Raw genomic sequence first — 19875 nt, 5'->3', positions numbered from 1 at the left:
TAGAATTAGGTTTGGCAGACAGAGAAATAAATATCCCAAAACAATGGCTTCGGTCAATGGTTTATTTCTCTTGCCTATTCAAGAAATCCAGAAGAGTCAGTTTGGGGTTGATATGATACGGTGGCAGAGACTCAATCTCTTTCTGTCTAATACCTCTGGCACATATAGCTTCCAATTCCAAGGTCACCTCATCCACAGAGGAAACTGTTGGAGCTTCTGCCTTCATGTCCATATTCTAGCTGTAGGAAGAAGGAAGAGGAAGTCCTACCCCTTTCTTTAAGAATACTTCCCAGAAGTAGCACATGCCATTGCCACATATATCCCAAAACTCAGATGGCCACACCTAGTTGTAAAAGAGATTTTTTTCCACTCACCTGTGTGTCCTGCTAAGAACTAAGATTCTGTTGCTTTGAAAGATGAGAAGAATGAGTATTAAGAGACAGCCAGCAGTATGCCATGTTTGAGTGCCCTCATGCCCAACTTACAAATGGAAAAATTGAGTCATAAGAAGTTAAATGGACTTACTAAGAGCTCACAGCTGGTGGAGTCAAGATTCAAAGCTAGATCATTCAAACTTCAGAGCTCTCAAGCACTACTTTGAAGTGCTTCTACCGTAAAACAGTTGTTTGACTTTATTCATCTCTTCTGCTAAATTAGTCTAAAGAAAACATTTCTGGACTAAGTTGCCAGGTCAATCTGTTGAAACAATGGAATCCTTTATTTTCCCAAGCATTCTTGGCAAAGGGCACAGTACTGGTATCAACTTGTGCAATGAAGCCTTTACTTTTGCTGACCTTTTGGATAGGTGGATTCAAAAAATTTAGTGACAGGTTTAGAGAATTGCCTGGTGTACAGATTAAAGTCTTATTTTCAATCTTCTACTTGCTTAGGGTTGCAACAGGTTTTAACTTCATTAAAATATGCTTTGCTGTTCTATTGATGGTTTAGATTTTCAACAAGGTAATAAAGGGACACAGTTTTCAATAGAGCCAATAAGAATAAATAAAAATAAATGATTTACTGTAGGAAAAATCCAGTAAATTATGATCATTTTTCTACTGAAAATTTTTCAAGATAAATGATAGCACATCTTAGAATAAATCAGACTATGTTACTTCTAAGTTATTTGGAAAGTATTACATTTAGATGGTTAACTTGTAATTCTTTAATATCTTACTTGTGTAAAAATCTAAATCATATAACACATTATGAACTAGGCCTCCCTTCCTTTCCCTTTCCTTTCTTCCTTCCATTTCACAAAGCCTAATTTGTTGTTCTTTTCCTTAGGTTCGTTTTTGTTTAGATTCTTCTCTCTTCCTAGCTCACAAGGGTTTTTAATCATTCTCATGCCTGACTAGCTCTTTGCTTTCTAGCACCGAGGGAGAAAATGAGAATATGAATTAATAAATCAATAAAAAAGTAAATACCATGCTTTATACATGTCAACTCAAGATTGCTATGTTGCTTACAATTTTCAACATTTTAAATAACTTCTGTAAATTTATCAATATTTTTTAGAGGCCAGGTGGGGTGGCTCACGCCTATAATCTCAGCACTTTGGGAGGCTGAGGCAGGCAGGTCTCCTGAGGTCAGAAGTTTGAGACCAATCTGGCCAACATGGTGAAACCCCATCCCTACTAAAAATACAAAATTAGTTGGACATGGTGGTGGGTGCCTGTAATCCCAGCTACACGGGAAGCTGAGGCAGGAGAATTGCTTGAGCCTGGGAGGCGGAGGTTGCAGTGAGCTGAGATCTCACCATTGCACGCTAGCCTGGGTGACAAAGCGAAATTCTGTCTCAAAACAAACAAACAAACAAACAAACAAACAAAAAAACTTTTTAGAAAGGTGATTAAGATAAATGATATATATCAGTTGCTCAAGCCAGGCATGGTGATGCTTGCCTGTAGTCCTGGCTACTCAGGAGGCTGAGGCAGGAGGATGGTTTGAGGGCAGGAGTTCAAGGTTGCAGTAAGCTATGATCATGCCACTGTACTCCAGCCTTGGTGACAGAGTAATACCTTGTCTCAAAAAACAAACAAGCAAGGCTCGGCACAGTGGCTCATGCCTGTAATTCTAGCACTTTGGGAGGTCAAGGTAGGAGGTACCCTTTCATCCAGGAGTTTGAGACCAGCCTGGGCAACATGGTGAGACCCTGTCACTACATAAAATAAAAAAAAAATTAGCTTGGTGTGGTGCCTGGTGCCTGGGGTCCCAGCTACTAGGAAGGCTGAAGTGGGAGGATCACTGGAGCCCAGGAGGTTGAGGCTGTAGTGAGCTGTGATTGCACCACTGTACTCTAGGTGACTGAGCAAGACCCAGACAAACAAACAAACAAAAAGCACTTGTTCAACAGAAGTTCTTTACTTAACAAACCACAACAACACTGGGGACATAGAGTGGTTAATGACAAGGTTTAATGATTTGAGGGTTTGCTTAGAAGTCAATAGACATTTCATTGTTGTGACAACTTACAGAAAAGTCACTTCCAAATGAAAAAATATATGATAAAACGTCAAAGAGGGCTGGGTGCGGTGGCTCATGCCCGTAATTCCAGCACTTCGGGAGGCCGAGGTGGGCGGACACTTGGGGTCAGGAGTTCAAGACCAGCCTGACCAACATGGTGAAACCCCATCTCCACTAAAAATACAAAAATTAGCTTGGCATGGTGGTGCATGGCTGTAGTCCCAGCTGTTCAGGGATCTGAGGCAGGAGGATCACTTGAACCCGGGAGGCAGAGGTTGCAGTGAGCCGAGATTGTGCCACTGTATTCCAGCCTGAGTGACAAAGTGAGTCTGTGTTTCAAAACAAAACAAAACAAAAAAAAGCCAAAGGGAACAGTGATCACAGAACAGATCAAGGGTCAGAGCACAACAGAGATTTCTACTTATTTGTAGTGTGCCTTTGGTTCTTTGCAAACATTGAGCAAGAACAGGACCAGGGACCAAATGATGTGGGCAGAAGAACACAGATTATTAGTCTTTAACAGATTTTTCGCTAATTATTTTATATATTATTCATTTGTATTTATATAAGTAATATCTTAATACATATTCCTTATGAAAAATTCTAAAGCCACATTGGAATAAAGGCAAAATGTCTGTTTTCCAGTGTTTTTTTTTTTTTTTTTTTTTTTTTTGAGATGAAGTCTCGCTCTGTTGCCCAGGCTGGAGTGCAATGGTAGGATCTCAGCTCACGGACACCTCTGCCTCCTAGGTTTAAGCAATTCTCCTGCCTCAGCCCCGCGAGCAGCTGGGATTACAGGCACCCGCCTCCACACCCAGCTAATTTTTGTATTTTTAGTAGAGACGGGGTTTCACCATCTTGGTCAGGCTGGTCTCCAATTCCTGACCTCAGATGATCCACCTGCCTTGGCCTCTCAAAGTGCTGGGATTACAGGTGTGAGCTACCACACCTGGCCAATTGCTTTTCTAGTTGAATGTGCAAAAACAACATTAAGAACCACTACAAATTCCTCACACATAATTTTAAAACTAGAGTATGAAAAGTACTCCTAATTTATTATTACTTTTCCAAGAAGTGGCCAGAGAATTAATTCCAGGAAAAGGGGACTACGGCAAACATTGTAATTGGGTAACCATTATCCATGGCTCCCCTTATAAAAAAAAAAATCCCCATTTTATCTGGGGCAGCAGTGTGTGTGGCTCCATAACACTTTGTTGGATAATTACCTTCCTAGACTCCTTTGCTTTTGAGAAGACCAGTGTGGCACACAATCCTGCCAATGAGATTTCATGGCAATCTGCATAGGAGGCTTCTGGAGGTTTTTAAATCTTTGCAAAAGGGACAATAATAAGAAAAAAGTGTCCTTTACCATTTCTTTCTCGTTTGAAAGTAGATGAGGTATTTAGAACTATGACAGCTATGGAACAATGAAGTGAAAAGAATAAAGACAAAAGTCAGCACGTTAAGGACCCAGAGAAGAAAGAACCTGGACTCTTGGTTATATTTCAGAGGAGATGGACTAGGGATTGCCTCCCTCTAAATTTCTCTGGGCAAACACTGAATGTCCCTATGGTTTGGCCACTTTTAATTTCCTATTCTGTCAGTTGCTGCTGAAAGCATTCCCAATACAAATACGTATCTGTCTTGTTCTCTGCTTTAGTACGGAGAACAGTGCCCAACGTGTAATAAGTGATCAAAGAATGTTTGCTGAAAGAATAGAGTGAGTGGATTTTAGATCAGATTCTAAGCATCATACCAAAACTTGTGGGTAGTAAAGTTGTTGTATTTATTTTACACTGAATTTTTAGTTTGAGTATAATTTCCCTGAAACTATTTGCCTTACACTGCTTTTTCCATACTAACAAAATCTCAGATATGTTTATCCTTCAACATGTTATCTGAGGGAAGATAGACCCCTCTGCAGTCTCATAAAAGCCTATCTTAATTGATCTAAGCTAATCATGGTAGTCTCATACCCTTTGCACAATGAATGACTTATGCCTGGGTATGAGAGGCAACTGTGGCCAACGGAGCTAATTCTGTGGGGACTTCAGGAAAAATATTCCCCATTAAATAAAAAGTGGGGCATGGAAGATAATGATTCTAGGTCTTCATGTGATGTCAAGATATGCCCCAGCCACTTTGCAGCAATGAAGGATAAGGCTTGAGGACTAAGCCACCACGCAAAGAATGAGAGCATGAGGCTGGCTCCATGGCTCATGCCTGTAATCCCAGCACTTTGGGAGGCCGAGGCAGGTAGATCACTTAAGGCCAGGAGTTCCAGACCAGCCTGGTCAACATGGCAAAACCCTGCCTCTAATAAAAATACAAAAACTAGCTGGCAGCTGTGGCACATGCCTGTAATCCCAGCTACTCGGGAGGCTGAGGCAGGAGAATCGCTTGAACCCAGGAGGCAGAGGTTGCGGTGAGCCGAGATCACACCACTGCACTCCAGCCTGGGCAACAGAGCAAGACTTTGTCTCAAAAAGAAAAAAAAAAAGAACATGGAGCGAAGGAAAGAACTTGAGTCCTTAATGACGACTGAGCCAGTCCAGGAGCAGAACTACCTCCATACTTCTTGCCATATAGTAAAATAAGTATCCTTACAGTTTCACCACTTTTAATTTTTTCAATCTGCATCTGCTTGCTAGGGAATTATTAATTTTTTTAATTACTTGCAGCCAAGAACATCATAAATAGTATGTGGATTTAAACTGTCTTTCAAATGTGTACACATAAGTAGTAACAAATCCCAATGTGTATTTTTCATCATCTTCAGATTTGGAGAGTCATTTTCTCAGTAAGAAGCATAAGAAAAATTACACAGTAAAAATATTTTCCAATTTTGATTCTGAGGGACAATTCAAAACCATAAAATAATAAGCTCTGTTTCAGAAAAAATTTTAATACGTTAGATTTGGGGGTCTATAATCCAAAACATCTAGGTAAACTATAAACTGTCAAAATTTTAAAAATGCCCAGGTAATGATTTCAAATTCTCAAAGCTACATTTTAAGAATTCACTTGAGGCTGGGTGCGGTGGCTCATGCCTGTAATCCCAGCACTTTGGGAGGCCAAGGTGGGTGGATCACCTGAGGTCAGGAGTTCAAGACCAGCCTAACCAGCATGGTGAAACCCTGTCTCTACTAATGAAGTACAAAAATTAGCTGGGCGTGGTGGTGCATGCCTGTAATCCCAGCTACTCCGGAGGCTGAGGCAGAAGAATCGCTTGAACATAGGAGGCGGAGGTTTCAGTGAGCTGAGATTGCACCACTGCACTTCAGCCTGGGCTACAAGAGTGAAACTCCATCTCAAAAAAAAAAAAAAAAAAAAAAAAGAAATCTATTTACTTGTATAAGCTTGACCTAGAGTAGGGATCAGGATTTGTAGGGCTTCCATTGGGCTCATCTTATCATCTTATAGATATAGCGTGTTGCAGGAAGAGGTGGGAATGTAGAACCAGGCACTTGTGTTAAGTGCCCTGATTGTTACTCCTAGAGTAATAGGTGCCATGAGCATAGCACCATTGATCTCCTTATTCTACCAAGCACATTTTATTGCCATCATTAGCTTATCTGTCTAGCTGCTCCTCTAAATAATTCGCATCTTGACCGGGAGCGGTGGCTCATGCCTGTAATTCCAGCACTTTGAGAGGCAGAGGCAGGATGATCACCTGAGGTCAAGAGTTTAAGACCAGCCCTGGCCAACATAGTGAAATCCTGTCTCCACTGAAAATACAAAAATTAGCCAGGTATGGTGACATGCGCCTGTTGTCCCAGCTACTCAGGAGGCTGAGGCAGGAGAATCACTTGAATCCAGGAGGCAGAGGTTACAGTGAGCCGAGATTGTGTCACTGCACTCCAGCCTGGGTGACAGAGCGAGACTCTGTCTCAACAAAAAAAAAAAAAAAAAAAAAAAAAAAATTCGCTTCTTGAAGGAAGAGAACATGTTTTGCTTATTTCTGTATTCCTGACACTGAAGATGGTGCCTGGCACATAATAGATATTGAACGAAAGTGGGGAGAAGAGATTAACTCTGGGGGAATAGAATAAGGGGAAAAAAATCTAAATATTAAATACTGAGGAGTTATGACTTGAAGTGTTTAAAAAACTAAAAAAAAAAAAAAAAAAAGAAAGGTAGTCAAACCATAGAAAGATTAAGTGGTAACTAGAACTTACAAGGGTTAGTTTAACTTTTATGTTTTTTTTCCTTCTCCCTGGGAAAGTACCTTTGGGATCATGTGGTGTTTGTGCAAATCGCTTGGGTCTACACAGCACAGAGTGGGGCTAAAGTGCAGATGAGGTGGAACTAAGAAACAGCCTGTCCAAACAAGCATGATTTAGAGCAGTTGCCTCATATACTGGACCACTTTTTTAGTACTGAAGGCGGCAATGACATACTTTATGGCAGTCACAAGCTGCTTTTAGTATGTTAAATGAATGAATACAGGCAGTTCTTCTGGAAACTCAAGGGTTTGTTGTTGTTTCTTTCTATCTTTAAAAAATTCAAAAATAAACTTGCCCCAATATTAATTTTAACCGAAGCTTTATTAGATGGTTACATTTATAAATTTACACTTCATTTGTGATAGTCCTTAATTATAATTATCACATACTCATGTTTTGAAAAGTTAGTGAAACTTTCCCTAAAGAGCAGGGCTTTCTGTTCTACCTCCATACAAGGCACTATCAGTGTGGGAGGAAGGGCAAAACACTGTGCTAAACCTGGCCCCATCCCAGGTCTGCGACTAACCCGGGGCCTTGGCCAAGTCAGCTAGCCTATCTACTGTTTAGTTTCTGCATTTGTAAAACAGAGGCATGTGTGAAGACAATCTCTTATGATTTCCCCTAGCTCTAAAATTTTACTGTTATAACGTATTAAATGCCTATGTTTATAGGAACTGAAACGGTTAAGGTTTAATATTTACTCTATAAGCTAGGTTTATCACTTCATCCTTTATAACGAAATTTTCATCTTACACATTATTATATCATACATTTAAGAAACTATGGCAGCTATATAAAATAATACAAAAACTAAAAGGTATAATTAATATTTGATATATTTATTTTAATGTCGATTTCTACAAATATACAACATGCGCACACCTAATTGAGATTATACTGCATAGAGAGCTTTGTATCCTCGATTTCATTGAATTTTGTATTGTGAACATTTTCCCATTTTATTAAAAAAAATCCTTAAAAAATAGTATTTTTGGCCAGGCGTGGTGGCTCATGCCTGTAATCCTAGCACTTTGAGAGGCCAAGGCAGGCGGATCACCTGAGGTCAGGAGTTCGAGACCAGCCTGGCCAACATGGTGAAACCCTGTCTCTACTAAAACTGCAAAAATTAGCCAGAAGTGGTGGTGTGCGCCTGTAATCCCAGCTACTCAGGAGGCTGAACCTCAAGAATCGCTTGAACCTAGGGGGTGGAGGTTGCAGTGAGCTGAGATCGTGCCAGTGTACTCCAGCCTGGGCAACAGAGCGAGACTGACTCAAAAAAAAAAAGAAAATTTTTTTCCTTTATTACAAAATTTTATATTGTTAAATATAATATGAATACAAATAAACTATATAAATAATTATTATAAGGTGAACACCTGTAACTATCACCTCACTCAGTCACCCCAGAAATACTCTTTTTTTTTTTTTTTTCTTTTTTGAGACAGAGTTTTGCTCTTGTTGCCCAGGCTGGAGTGCAATGGCCCAATCTCGGCTCACTGCAACCTCCACCTCCTGGGTTCAAGCGATTCTCCTGCCTCAGCCTCCTGAGTAGCTGGGATTACAGGCATGCACCACCACGCCCGCCTAATTTTTTTGTTTTTTTAGTAGAGGCAGGATTTCGCCAAGTTGGTCAGGCTGGTCTCGAACTCCTGACCTCACATGATCCACCTGCCTCGGCCTCCCAAAATGCTGGGATTATAGGCGTGAGCCACCGTGCCCAGCCAGAAATACTCTTATAACATAACCATCTCCCTCCCTACTGAAGTGAATTACCCTAATGACTTTTAATCATTTATTTTTCTTTATAGTTTTGCTATGGTGTGTGCATCCCTATACATTATCATTTAGTGTTTCCTAAGAGTATAATTTTTAATGTATGTTTATTATTCTACTATATAAAGATACATAAATTCATACAACTTTTTAGCTTATTTTTTGGTGGTTTTAAAAAATTTTATTTTTTGGCTAGGTATCTGTTTACATAATGCAAAATTTTAAATGTTCAAAAGGGAAGGCAATCAAAAGTCTTACTACTACTTTGTTCTTCAGCCATCTGGCTATCTCTATAACCAGTTTTTAGGAAGTTGTTTTTGAGGAAAATGAGCCTAAGAATGGTATTGATATTTTTTCAGCTTTAATGTCCTAAACTAACCTCCTAAGTAGGTACAAAAATATAATTCTTAGAAAAGCATTCAAAAAGTTGATTTTTCTTTTATATGAAGTTGGCATAATTTCTGGAGTAAGATATGTGATTTTACTCTTGAACTAGTTAAATGTGTAACATTGAACAGTTAACCATGAATTGGTTGTGAAATAACCAAAGAAGGAAAATTAGGATCCAACTAGGTATAAATAGTGTGGTGGTATTTTACTTTGCTTGACTATGGAGCTGAGAGACCCAAGTTGCTTTTTTTTGTCTCTTGGGCATGATGGAAAACTCAACAGTTTCTTATGTTTTTGCTCTAGTAGATCAATAATGTCATGAAGATAACATGTTATACAAAAATGCATAATTCAGTTTGCATTAATGACAGAACTACCATCAACCTGTCTGAACAGTATACCATTTTTATGAAGCAGGGTTCTTTGGCTGTAAGAAACAAAAACAGGCTCTGCTTAACCTAAATAAAGGAAATTTACTGGGATAATTCAGGTACTCATTGTTTGGCAGAAAGGATGAAGAATCAGGCTTTGAAATGAACAGAGCCAATACAACTTATGAGGTCCAGGAACTGCTGATAACAAGAATGGTCTCATATGAAAACTGGCTTTGGATATTTTACTGGATTCTAATAGAAACTGTTCCTGATTGTGGAACACCAGGTGACTATGCAACTAGATCTACTCATCAGGATGTTATCAGATACAGTAAGTGATAAGTTTGGATGGGTGTATCATTAGACTTATGATATAAATGAAACATATGCATCCAGCTTGACCATATTCAAAAGGTATGAATGAATTATATGCACATGTATCTCAAACTTTCAGGTCATCTGTCTCTGTAGCACCAATAACCCTCCCTTAACTCACACTTGGGCCTCATGAAGGGAGGGGAGTAAGTGCCCCCTTCTGACTAAGTGATGGAATAAGAAATAACTTGGCCCAGTTTACACATGAATTCTCACAGTACATTAGCGATAGTGGAAAGTAAATTGCCACCACATTATAGTTCCACTCAAGGACGGAGGGACAGTTGTGAAAAGAAATCCTCTCTCCAGGCAGGCAATGTTATGAGTAGTGCGAATGGTCATTCACTTGGTATGGAGAGAGAAATGTACTTTGTATAGATACATGGGGACCCTGGGGAAGGTGGGAATGTCTTGGCTGGTTTGTCGGGGTAAGGCATCCTCATATTGGCTCTCCCATCTTCCCTTCCTCATTCTTCTACTCCCTCACTCCTGCTTCCCTGGGATTGCAGGGATACTAGTAAGATAGTGTCACGTGAACTTTTGTCTCAGGCTCTGTTTTGAGGGAAATCAACTTCTCTGAGATGTTCAGTGAGATATTTGTGGGCAAACCAGACTCCCTAACCAAATTACACATGCTTTACCAGAGCAACAATATATGTTCAGTGGTAGCTCAAGCTGTTTTTATGACCATTTTTCTTATTTTGGGAAGAAAATGAAGAGAAGCTTGTTCAAATTATTTTTGATAACTTTCATGTATGCCCGTTCTCTTAAAATCCTTCTACTAGGTTAACCATTTATAAAATAACTGGGTTAGCAATCAGAGATAGAAACCTGTTTGTGAACAGAATGAATAAGGAAATTGTGTCATCAACAAAACAAGAAGAGCTGGGCACAGTGGCTCATGCCTGTAATCCCAGCACTTTGGGAGGCCAAGGAGGGTGGATCACGAGGTCAGGAGTTCGAGACCAGCCTGGCCAACACAGTGAAACCTCGTCTCTGCTAAAAACACAAAAAATTAGCCGGGCGTGGTGGTGGGCACCTGTAATCCCAGCTACTTGGGAGGCTGAGGCAGGAGAATCACTTGAACCTGGGAGGTGGAGGTTGCAGAGATCCGAGATCCCACCATTGCACTCCAGCCTGGGTGACAGTGCGAGACTTGTCTCAAACAACAACAACAACAACAACAACAACACCACCACCACCAACAACAACAAGAAGAACTTATCTCCTTTCCATGAGAAAAATCAATATGTAATCAAAATTTTTATTTTATTTAAAACTACCCAAAAGATTGAATTTGACTTTTTCTAGATACCATTCACTATGTCAAAAACCTAAGCAAAGAATGTAAATAACTTTCAAAGTATTTCTTCCACTCTACTCCTGATGAGTCTAAAGTTAAACAACTGAAAACTGCCTCCCTCAGTTTAACATTTGGCACATCTCTTTTTAAGGACTTCGAAGATACCCTGTGTCCCATTACAAATAAAATATGACGGCTGGGCGCAGTGGCTCATGCCTGTAATCCCAGCACTTTGGGAGGATGAGGTGGACGGTCAGGAGTTTGAGACCAGACTGGCCACTATGGTGAAACCCTGTCTTGACTAAAAATACAAAAATTAGCCGGGCGTGGTGGTGCACACCTATAGTCCCAGCTACTTGGGAGGTTGAGGCAGAAGAATTGCTTGAACTCGGAAGGAAGAGGTTGCAGTGAGCCGAGACTGTGCCATTGCACTTTGGCCTGGGCGACAGAGCGAAACAAAAAACAAAACAAAACAAAACAAAACAAAACAAAAAAGAATGCCAGAATTTCTTTCTTTCTTTCTTTCTTTCTTTCTTTCTTTCTTTCTTTCTTTCTTTCTTTCTTTCTTTCTTTCTTTTTTTTTTTTTTTGACAGATTCTTGCTCTGTCCTGCTCTTGGCTCACTGCAACCTCCACCTCCTGGGTTCAAGAAATTTTCCTGCCTCATCCTCCCGAGTAGCTGGGACTACAGGTATGTGCCGCCACACCTGGCTAATTTTTGTATTTTTAGTAGAGACGGGGTTTCACTATGTTGACCAGGCTGGCCTTGAACTCCTGACCTCAAGGTGATCCACCCACCTCAGCCTCCCAAAGTGCTGGGATTACAGATGTGAGACACTACGCCCGGCTTTACTTTAGAATTTCTTAACTAAAGAGATGAGGAAAAGCATATAATTCCTTGGCTTCACTTTATAATGCTTGATAGAAAATGGGGGTGGATGAGGAGATATCAATAACGTTAAAAAAAAAAAAAGCAAGTTACTAACAGGAATGAGGAAGCAGAGGGAAGGTCAAAATGTAGGATGAGGTGGGCTTTCTAGCCAATATAGGACAATAAAGAAGAAAAGGAATGCCATGGTCATGGTGATAACCTTACCAGTTCCTGGTGTAGATGAGAAATGAAGCATAGCTAATCTACTAATTTTAGGTGACACCATCATGCCTTTCACTATGACTCAAAAGAATGTGTGACAAACCACTTTCTCATCAGGCCAGCTGATGGTATTGCCACTCAGAAATGGGGAGAAAATTCTTAAAGAACCACTAAGAGCTTTTCACTACTCTGAACTCTCAGCTTGAATAAAATCCACTTAGTCCTTTCTGTATTTCAGTGACTGCAATTATCAAGCATTGATAAGGAGCTTCTTGGGTTTTCAGAATGGTCATAAAAAATGATTTTCAGCTGAGTGTGGTGGCTCACACCTGTAATCCCAGCACTTTGGGACACCGAGGTGGGTGGATCACATGAGGACAGGAATTTGAGATCAGCCTCAGCAACGTGGCAAAACCCTGTCTCTATTAAAAATTCAAAAAATTAGACGGGCATGGTGGTGCACGCCTGTAATCCCAGCTACTCGGGAGGCTGAGGCACAAGAATCACTTGAGGCTGGGTGCAGTGGCTCACGCCTGTAATCCCAGCACTTTGGGAGGCCAAGGCTGGTGGATCACTAGGTCAGGAGTTCGAGACCAGCCTGGCTAACACTGTGAAATCCTGTCTCTACTAAAATACAAAAAATTAGCTGGGCGTGGTGGTGGGCACCTGTAGTCTCAGTTACTCGGGAGGCTGAGGCAGGAGAATGGTGTGAACGTGGGAGGCGGAGCTTGCAGTGAGCCGAGATTGCACCACTGCACTCCAGCCTGGGCAACAGAGCGAGACTCTGTCTCAAAAAAAAAAAAAAAGAATCGCTTGAACCAGGGAGGAAGAGGCTTCAGTGAGCCGAGATCGCCACTGCACTCCAGCCTGAGTGACAAGAACAAAACTCTGTTTCAAAAAAAAAGATTTTTATTTTATTAAATATGGGTTGAAAATAGGTGAGGTATTTATAAAAAAAATGGTTAAGGATGGTGTATTGAGCATCTTTAATGTGTGACTGTTCAGCATTCATTTCTCTTTCCTAATAACATCACATTTCTTTTAGAGGGAATTATAATTTTATTATTATTGTTGTTACTATTTGCATATAAATTTTTATATATTTGTCATTGTTGTTGTTGTTTTGGTTTTTTTGAGACAGGGTCTCACTCTGGTTGTCCAGGCTGGAGTGCAGTGGGGTGATCTTGGCTCACTGCAGCCTTGACCCCTCAGGCTCTGGTGATTCTCCCACCTCAGCCTCCTGAGTAGCTGAGACTAGAGGCAGGTGCCACTGTCCCCGGCTAATTTTTTGTATTTTTAGTAGAGGCGGGGTTTCACCATGTTGCCCAGGCTGGTCTCAAACTCCTGGGCTCAAGCAATCCACCAGCCTCGCCCTCCCAGAGTGCTGGGATTACAGGCATGAGCCGCTGTGCCTGGCCTTGTTACCATTTTGGATTCAGCCTGGTGGACTTTTACTCAGCAGACCTATACTTTCTTAGCCCAAGTCTGAATATATGGTTGAAACCAGGCCAATCAGACACCTACTCTCTGGAATTTAAATCTTGGGTAGAGGATTAAAGAGAGGATTAATCTATTCCGGGGCGAGTCCTGGATTTTGTCAACGTGAAGCCATTCTTGTGATCTCCAGATCCTGGACCACTGCGAATACCTTGGATCAGCACATTTCAAAGTCTGGTTCTCTAGCCTTACTTCCAGGCGATGAAGTCTGATATATTTCAGTAAGTTTCCTTTCCATAAATGAACTAGAGCCTCTTTCTGTTGTCTGTATCTATAGAACTCTGACTCATTCATAAGTTATATCTTACAAATTAGGCAGTTTAAAGAAAAATGGACTTTATAGCTACAAGGTAAACAGTATGAGACCATAGCTAGAAGTAATGTCATAGTTGATTATTTAAACATTTTTTTAAAGCCTGCAGAAAAAAATTTACTCATGATGAATACAATAATTTTATAGAGAAGAAAAGTGGAAACTGGAAAAAAGAAGATAACATTGAACAAAAAAATTAGAAAATATATTTTTGAGAATTTTCTTATGGCAAAAAATATAAATTAGGTGATAGGTATTTAAAAAAATATCTGACATCGATTGATTAATTAATTCATAGATTCTTACTGATGAGCATAGAGCATAGATCGTCTTCTAGCTGGAATTATTTTCTAATTACTACTTGCTCCTTATTATTCAGATCTCACAACTTTTCTGGCTAAGTCTGTAGTATTGCATGCAGAGGGATGAAATTTCAAAGCTACGAAACTTGATTTGACTTGAATCCTCCCAGAAGTGAGAATTGTACAGAGAGCTTAGTCAGATGAGATTTAATAGGATCCAAATTTCAGGATTTACTCGTTTTTCTCTTTTAGAAGGTTCAGCAACATTGATGACTTTTATGTGGGAAGAGTATCTTGATAAATCATATTAAAGAAAAAGTGAAGACCTAATTGCTTGTCACATTCCATCTGTATCATTATCCTGAACGATCATCAGGTATAACCCTCTATCAACAGACTTAATATATTATATTAACTTTCTTTTTAATGCACTTTTTTGGTGGTGAAAATGAAGGCTCATTTTTTTCCCTACCATTTTTTCCCTGTTCATTCTCACAGAAATTATGTAAAATAGAATGAGTCATAGTATATCAGGTATCTTAACCTTTATTACAGAAGCACTTTGAGAATTATTGCCCTAGCAGGTAAGCAGTTGGCATAAGGAAAAGACTGAATGGATTATGATGTGGTGATTATCCTAGACTTCACCCTCTGCTTTTTCTCAGAAGAGACAACACTTCTCTAATAGATAGTTAACTCAATCTAAGGAGAAAAGGTTCTGAAGTATTTCCAAAGTATTTCCTCTTATCTTGAGGTGGTTAAGGCTCCCTCTGAATCTGATGTCTGTGTGATTATGAATTTGCAACCCAAACTGTACTCATCATAGAAAACTTACACTGGGCCAGGCACAGGGACTCATGCCTGTAATCCCAACATTTTGGGAGGCCAAAGTGGGAAAATCACTTGAGCCCAGGAGTTCAAGACCAGCCTGGGCAACACAGCAAGACCCTGTCTTCTATACAAAACTGAAAAGAAAATAGCTGGATGTGGTGGTGTGTGCCTATAGTCCCAGTGACTTGGGAGGCTGAGGTGGGAGGATTGCTTAAACTGGGAGTTTGAGGATGCAGTTACCTGTGATCGTGCCACTGCACTCTAGCCTGGGCAACAGAATGAGACCCCATCTCTATAAAAGAAAGAACATTTACAGTAATGTTCTGTTAGTGATCTAATTCTACATATAGCCCTAGGATCTTCTTAAAAGATCCAAGAACAGCAGGATCTCCCTTAAGAAGCATTTTCTTGAAAAATATGGTCATGTCACTACTTTGTTATATTTGTTAGGAGTGCTTTTAGCTGCAAATAATGGAAAAAATCCAACAATTACTTAAACAACAAGCGCTTTTTTTTTTTCACATTAGACAGCAGCTGGTTTCAGGGCTGTTGTCTAATGACTCCGTAAGTTCATCAAGGATGCAGTTTGTTTTTATTTTTATATTCAGCCATACATAGCATATTTATTTGTTGCTTTATAGTCTCAAAATAGATGCCATAGCTCTATGCATCACTTCTATAATGAAGACAAGAAAAGGCAAGGGGTAGTGACAATGGCTTCTCCTCTAATTTTTTTTTTTTTTTTGAGACGAAGTTTTGTTCTTGTCGCCCAGGCTAGAGTGCAATGGTACAATCTCGGCTCACTGCAACCTCCGCCTCCTGGGTTCAAGCAATTCCCCTGCCTCAACATCCCCAGTAGCTGGGACTACACTACGCCTGGCTAATTTTTTGTATTTTTAATAGAGACGGGGTTTCACCATTTTGGCCAGGGTAGTCTCGAACTCCTGATCTCAGGTGATCCACCCGCCTCAGCCTCCCAAAGTGCTGGGACTATAGGCATGAGCCACCAGGCCCAGTCTTCCTCTCATTTTTTCCTTTTTTAAAAAAGCAAAGCCCTCACAGATTTGAAATAACCTGTCAGTCAGGCACAGTGGCTCACGCCTGTAATCCCAACACTTTGGGAGGCTGAGCCGGGCCAGATCACTTGGGGTCAGGAGTTTGAGACCAGCCTGGCCAACATGGCAAAATCCCTTCTCTACTAAAAATATAAAAATTAGCCAGGCCTGGTGGCACGTGCCTCTAATCCCAGTTACTCAATAGGCTAAGGCAGGAGAATCACTTGAGCCCAGGAAGCAGAGGTTGCAGTGAGTGGAGATTGCATCACTGCACTCCAGCCTGGGTGACAGAGTGAGACTCTGTCTCAAAAAAGAAAAAAAAAATAACTAATTGCCAGGTGTGATGGCTCACGCCTGTAATCCCAGCATTTTGGGAGGCCGAGGCGGGTGGATCACCTGAGGTCGGGAGTTTGAAACCAGCCTGACCAACATGGAGCAACCCTATCCCTACTAAAAATACAAAATTAGCCAGGCGTGGTGGTGCATGCCTGCAATCCCAGCTACCTGGGAGGCTGAGGCAGGAGAATCACTTGAACCCAGGAAGCAGAGGTTGCAGTGAGCTGAGATCACACCATTGCACTCCAGCCTGGGCAACAAGAGTGAAACTCCGTCTCAAAAAAAAAAATTAATTAAAAATAAAAATAAACCTGTCAGAGGTCACTCAGACATGAAGCAGAGAAGCAAGGATTCTCACCCCAGCTGTCCACTTCTTAAGCCAGTGCTCTTGACCATTGCCTTCTTTGGAGCAGTGATGGCTACTCTATGAGATTATAATCTTTTTTTTTTCCATTATACTTCTCCTTCATAACCTCAAGTTTTCAGTAAGTTCTGTTAAATGCTGTAGCTTGGCTTTAGCTCTGCTTTGTGAGTTAAGGGAGGGGCCTCTGTTAACACTTATGAGAAAAATTTGGGCAGACAATACTGGCCAGGAGAAGCTTATTAAAGTGAGCTGAGGGGATTGGAGCAGGATGGCTACCTGAGGGGATGATAACAGCAGTGTGAGCTTGAGGAATATGCCTCTTTCAGACAGAGAGATGTCTAAGAACTTGAAGCACCCTCAGAAATGTATGGAATTATGGAAACTTGAGTTGTCATTACCTGGATTGTTAAATAAGGAGCTCAGAAAGCTGGGGAATTTGACATATGGTTGCATGAGTCTCTGATATTTGGTTTCTACTCCTAGACTTAATGTAAATTGGACATATAGACCTAACCAAATCCCACCTTGCTGCTAATTCCAAATACAACCTTGCACTCTACTCTGTTCACCTCTTGAGCTCAAGAGGGGTTGGATTGTTCAGGCTGCATAGAGCCTAAAGGTATCCTACAGCAGAAGGCTTTTAACGACATAAAACACATTATCAGGTGTTCCATAGGTGATGTACAGAGAAAAACCCATATTTGGAGATTGCGCTGAACTGGAAATTGCTGCTGCAGTTATGAAGATTTTTATGCACCTGAAGCAGGAAAGAACTATCTCTTATTCAAATGCTACAAAAAGCGAGATTTTCTTCTCTATTATCCAAAGAACCTACTATGAGGAAATAAAAGGGATTGAAAAACTCTTAAAGCCCCACCCATAGCAACCGGACAACTTTTCAGGAATCTAATATATAACAATCTATGAATTAGGGATTACTCTTCCCATTTTACAGAGTTGAGCACAGTGTTGCTTATTTGAGGTAACACAGCTGCTCACTAGTAGAACTAGCAGAGCTGGCACAGAAACCAGTGACTGTACTATACTTTTTCTTGCACTCTGTTCAGCTTTTATCAAAATTTCCAAGGTTCTCTTCCAATGGGAGGCCATGTATGTCCACACATTAATGTAAAAATGATTAGGTTTGAGTGTTTAATGAAAAATTCTGTATATTATAGATGTTATACAAGGCTTAAACAGGTCACTAACCAAGCAAGCAAACCAGAACTGATTTACTTTGGAATTGGTAAAAATCATCACATAAACAATGTATACACAAAGCAGATTCACTTGACTTTTATACATTTTTCTAAATTCCTAAAGAATGTAGGATTTGGGAAACCATCAATATGATAATTTAATGTAGAGTTTTAAAAAGTACGTGCTTTAGGTGGGTGCTAATAATACATTAATAAATTCCATGTAAGCTCAGGTAAGTACCAAATGGCCTTTTGGTATACTTCCACCATCGGGTTTGCTTTCTACATCTCTTTGGTTACCCTATAGTCTTCCCTGCGTTAATCAACCCAATACCACTTTTCATTGTTGGGAAGAGTTTCCCATAAAGTTCCTCAATTAATTCCTGTTCTCTTTCATTCCCTACCCACATGAACTCCTGTAAATGAGCACTTGTCTCACCGACAGAACAATGTAACAGGGAGAAACCACATGAAAACATTGCTTCACTGTCCTGTCCTTGTTCAAGCATTGTGTCCACTACCTTTGATAACATGACAAGTTTTGGGTTTTGGGTTTCTGTCATGACTACAGCAAACCTTGACTGCCTACTACTTGCCAGACATTGTGTAGGTGAAGATCGGAGAACAAGACTGATCCCAGATTCTGCTTTCATAAAGCTTATGTTCCAATGGGAGCCAATAGAAAATGGAAGGTAGAGATAAGCTCCTGGCATGAGTGCTCTGTTACAAATGACAATAGAGATGAGATAGGGAATAATGGGTTGGGGCAGGCAAGGTTGCTCTGACCAGGTTTTTTTAAAACTGAAATCTGCCTCACAAGAAGGAGCCAGAAAATCAGGCTTCGACCTGTTTGAACATCTGATCAGGTGAGATACTTTTGGCAAATCATTAAAACTTTCAGTCTGTGTTTTCCTCTTCAAATAAGAAACATGACAAGGTGGGATGCGGTGGCTCACGTCTGTAATCCCAGCAATTTGGGAGGCCAAGACGGGTGGATCACCTGAGGTCAGGAGTTCGAGACCAGCCTGGCCAGCATAGAGAAACCCTGTCTCTACTAAAAATACAAAATTAGCCGGGTGTAGTGGTGCATGCCTGTAATCCCAGCTACTCGGGAGGCTGAGGCAAGAGAATCGCTTGAACCCGGGAGGCAGAGATTGCAGTGAGCTGAGGTTGTGTCATTGCACTCCAGCCTTGGCAGCAAGAGCAAAACTCTGTCTCAAGAAAAAAAAAAAAAAGAAACATGACAAATCTATAGAACTGTGAAGAACAAGGAAATAATTTCTCAGATAACTTCATATGTGGGAAGAGAATTAACTATGCTAGGTCAGCCATTGAACATAGAATTTATGTCAACTATCTCACTAATCATAATTCCCATAAAATATAAAGGGCTATAAAATGATTTGTTGTTGTCATTCAACTCTCCCCAGGTCAGTTTTCTGTAGTCCTCCTTTCCTAAAATGACTCCTGTGGCCACTCAAGCTGAATGTGGAAAAAATAGCGCAACTGCTTATTTTCCCTCTATGCCTTTCCTATGCCAACTTTCTCTTAGTGTTGGGCAATGTTATAACTTTCTAATATTATTTTCTTTTATTTTATGTGAGACGGAGTCTCGCTCTGCCACCCAGGCTGGAGTGCAGTGGCATGATCTCGGCTCACTGCAACCTCCACCTCGCGGGTTCAAGTGATTCTCCTGCCTCACTCAGCCTCCTGAATAGCGGGGATTACAGGTGCCTGCCACCCAGCCTGGCTAATTTTTGTATTGTTAGTAGAGACGGGCTTTCACCATGTTGGTCAGGCTGGTCTCGAACTCCTGGCCTCAGGTGATCCGCCCGCCTTGGCCTCCCAAAGTGCAGGGATTACAGGAGTGAGCTACTGCACTCAGCCCTAATATTTTAATCATGCCTGTAATCCCACCACTTTGGGAGGCTGAGGCCTCGCTTGAGGCCAGGAGTTTGAGACCATTCTGTGCAACATAA

At 40.7% G+C, this 19875-nt stretch overlaps 2 protein-coding genes across 3 annotated transcripts in view, besides 1 other annotated feature; one reads left to right on the top strand and one right to left on the bottom strand.

The window, feature by feature from the left end:
• PTP4A1 (protein tyrosine phosphatase 4A1) overlaps positions 1-610 on the bottom strand; it is a 67149-nt gene extending 66539 nt beyond the window's left edge. For both annotated transcript variants that reach the window (NM_001385255.1, NM_001385254.1), the window contains exon 1: positions 526-610. The gene's annotated coding sequence lies outside the window, so the exon portion shown is untranslated. The remainder of the gene's footprint in view (positions 1-525) is intronic.
• The window catches only part of LGSN (lengsin, lens protein with glutamine synthetase domain), a 297657-nt gene that overhangs the window by 56558 nt on the left and 221224 nt on the right, over positions 1-19875 (top strand). The window lies entirely within an intron of this gene.
• Positions 12233-12372: an enhancer, noted in NCBI's record as "active region_24717". NCBI's record gives its function as "activates an Ori minimal core promoter by ATAC-STARR-seq in GM12878 lymphoblastoid cells {active_cell/tissue: GM12878}" and the evidence as "EXISTENCE:reporter gene assay evidence [ECO:0000049][PMID:35858748]".

Source organism: Homo sapiens, chromosome 6 (genome assembly GCF_000001405.40).
Source record: "Homo sapiens chromosome 6, GRCh38.p14 Primary Assembly".
Lineage (NCBI taxonomy): Eukaryota > Metazoa > Chordata > Mammalia > Primates > Hominidae > Homo > Homo sapiens.
This window is presented reverse-complemented; position numbering and strand designations above follow the sequence as displayed.